The sequence below is a fragment of the Homo sapiens genome, chromosome 7 (genome assembly GCF_000001405.40).
Source record: "Homo sapiens chromosome 7, GRCh38.p14 Primary Assembly".
NCBI lineage: Eukaryota > Metazoa > Chordata > Mammalia > Primates > Hominidae > Homo > Homo sapiens.
In genome coordinates, this window is record NC_000007.14 from 51,470,314 (window position 1) to 51,471,747 (window position 1,434).

The 1,434-nt window shown below is 50.6% G+C and overlaps 1 annotated feature.

Moving 5' to 3' along the window:
• Positions 593 to 1,190: an enhancer, noted in NCBI's record as "H3K4me1 hESC enhancer chr7:51538603-51539200 (GRCh37/hg19 assembly coordinates)". NCBI's record gives its function as "activates a minimal SCP1, AML or CMV promoter by ChIP-STARR-seq in naive H9 embryonic stem cells {active_cell/tissue: H9 hESC(naive)}" and the evidence as "EXISTENCE:reporter gene assay evidence [ECO:0000049][PMID:30033119]".

Sequence of the window (1,434 nt, forward strand, 5' to 3'; positions counted from 1 at the left end):
GTGTACACATGTATATTATAGTACATGTGATATATAATGCATAGTGTATACAAACACATTCATGTGGATTTTTACATCGTTAACACAGAGGGCAGCCTGCTATACGCACCAGTCTGCACTCTCCTTTTCCTTTACAGCACAGACTGGAAAACCACACTCCAGATGTACGTGGCGAGGGCGCTCTTCCTGCTTATAACTGCATGGGGCTGCATGGGGGTGGGCATGGCCCCATGTAATCCCCTGGCAATGGATGTGAGGGTTGGCTCCAGCCATTTGCCTCACTATGCTATGATGTCCAGCTTTGTGCACAGGCTGGTGCTTACTTGGCCTATTTGAGATAACTCCCGAGAAGGAGGATGGGGTTGGTCAAAGGGCAAATGCCTGTGCCAGTGGGCTAGACGGGAGGCCTATGTACTGTATGAAGATAAACCAAAAACGAATCAAATGGACATTGTCTTTCAGGGTAGTAAAAGAACTGAGAGAGGGGGCTGAGGAGGAGGCCAGACTTCTGAGTGTGCAGGGCACCCACAGGGCTCTGCTTTTTTCTATTCTGTGGCTCTTTCCCAGGGACTTCTCAGGCTGTATGTTTCTCCCCCCATTGTTTTTAGGCAAATGCATTGTATATTTCATATATGTACACGTATGTATATACACACAGAGATACATATGCATGTGTGTACATCTCCCTCCTCTGTGTGTGTGTATGCAATGTGAGTATATATAAAATCTCTTGTAAATAGCCTCGTGGTTATGCCCAGACACAGCTGAATCCTAATGAGACAACTTAGGCTTAATTTGAAAACCAATGACACTTGTTTCTTAAATGGTAAAGCTCAATAACATGACAATCAAATCTTGTAAAAACGTTTCTTCCTTTTCTTCTTTTTAGAGAATCCCTGGATTTGTAAGCCGGGAACGCAACCCCAGGCGACATGGAGACCAGCAAGCAGTAACCTGGCAACCGAGCGTGGATGCTGGCAGAGGAGGCTCTCTCCTTCGACTCCTGCCCCTCCTTCCCCTCCCTCACAGGCGCAGATTGGGGGCGGAGGCGCAGGGCTGCCTGCGGTTCTGAGCGGGAGCTGTGCACATCTAGGCTGAGGGCCTTTCTGGTACAGCCTTCCGCGGCCGTCAGTGCTGCTTCTGCCCCAGCTCCCATGGCAGGTAACGGGCTCCCCTTGGCGCCATGTTTGAGGAGAACCGCCCAGGGCTCCCTTCCTGTGGTGGGGAGAGGGTTGCACTGTTTTCCACAGTGTCAGTGAGTCGCCCTGGGCTGACAGGCTTTGCTCTTCCCTGGGCGGTGGGGTCTGTCTCTCGGGGAACACAGAGCCTGGGTTTGCGTGAGTCAGGAGGATCACCTGTTTCACTACCAAAGGTGACATGCGGAGGAGCTGCTATCTCTACCTCACCCAACGTAGAGTGCTCCAGAAATCTTTC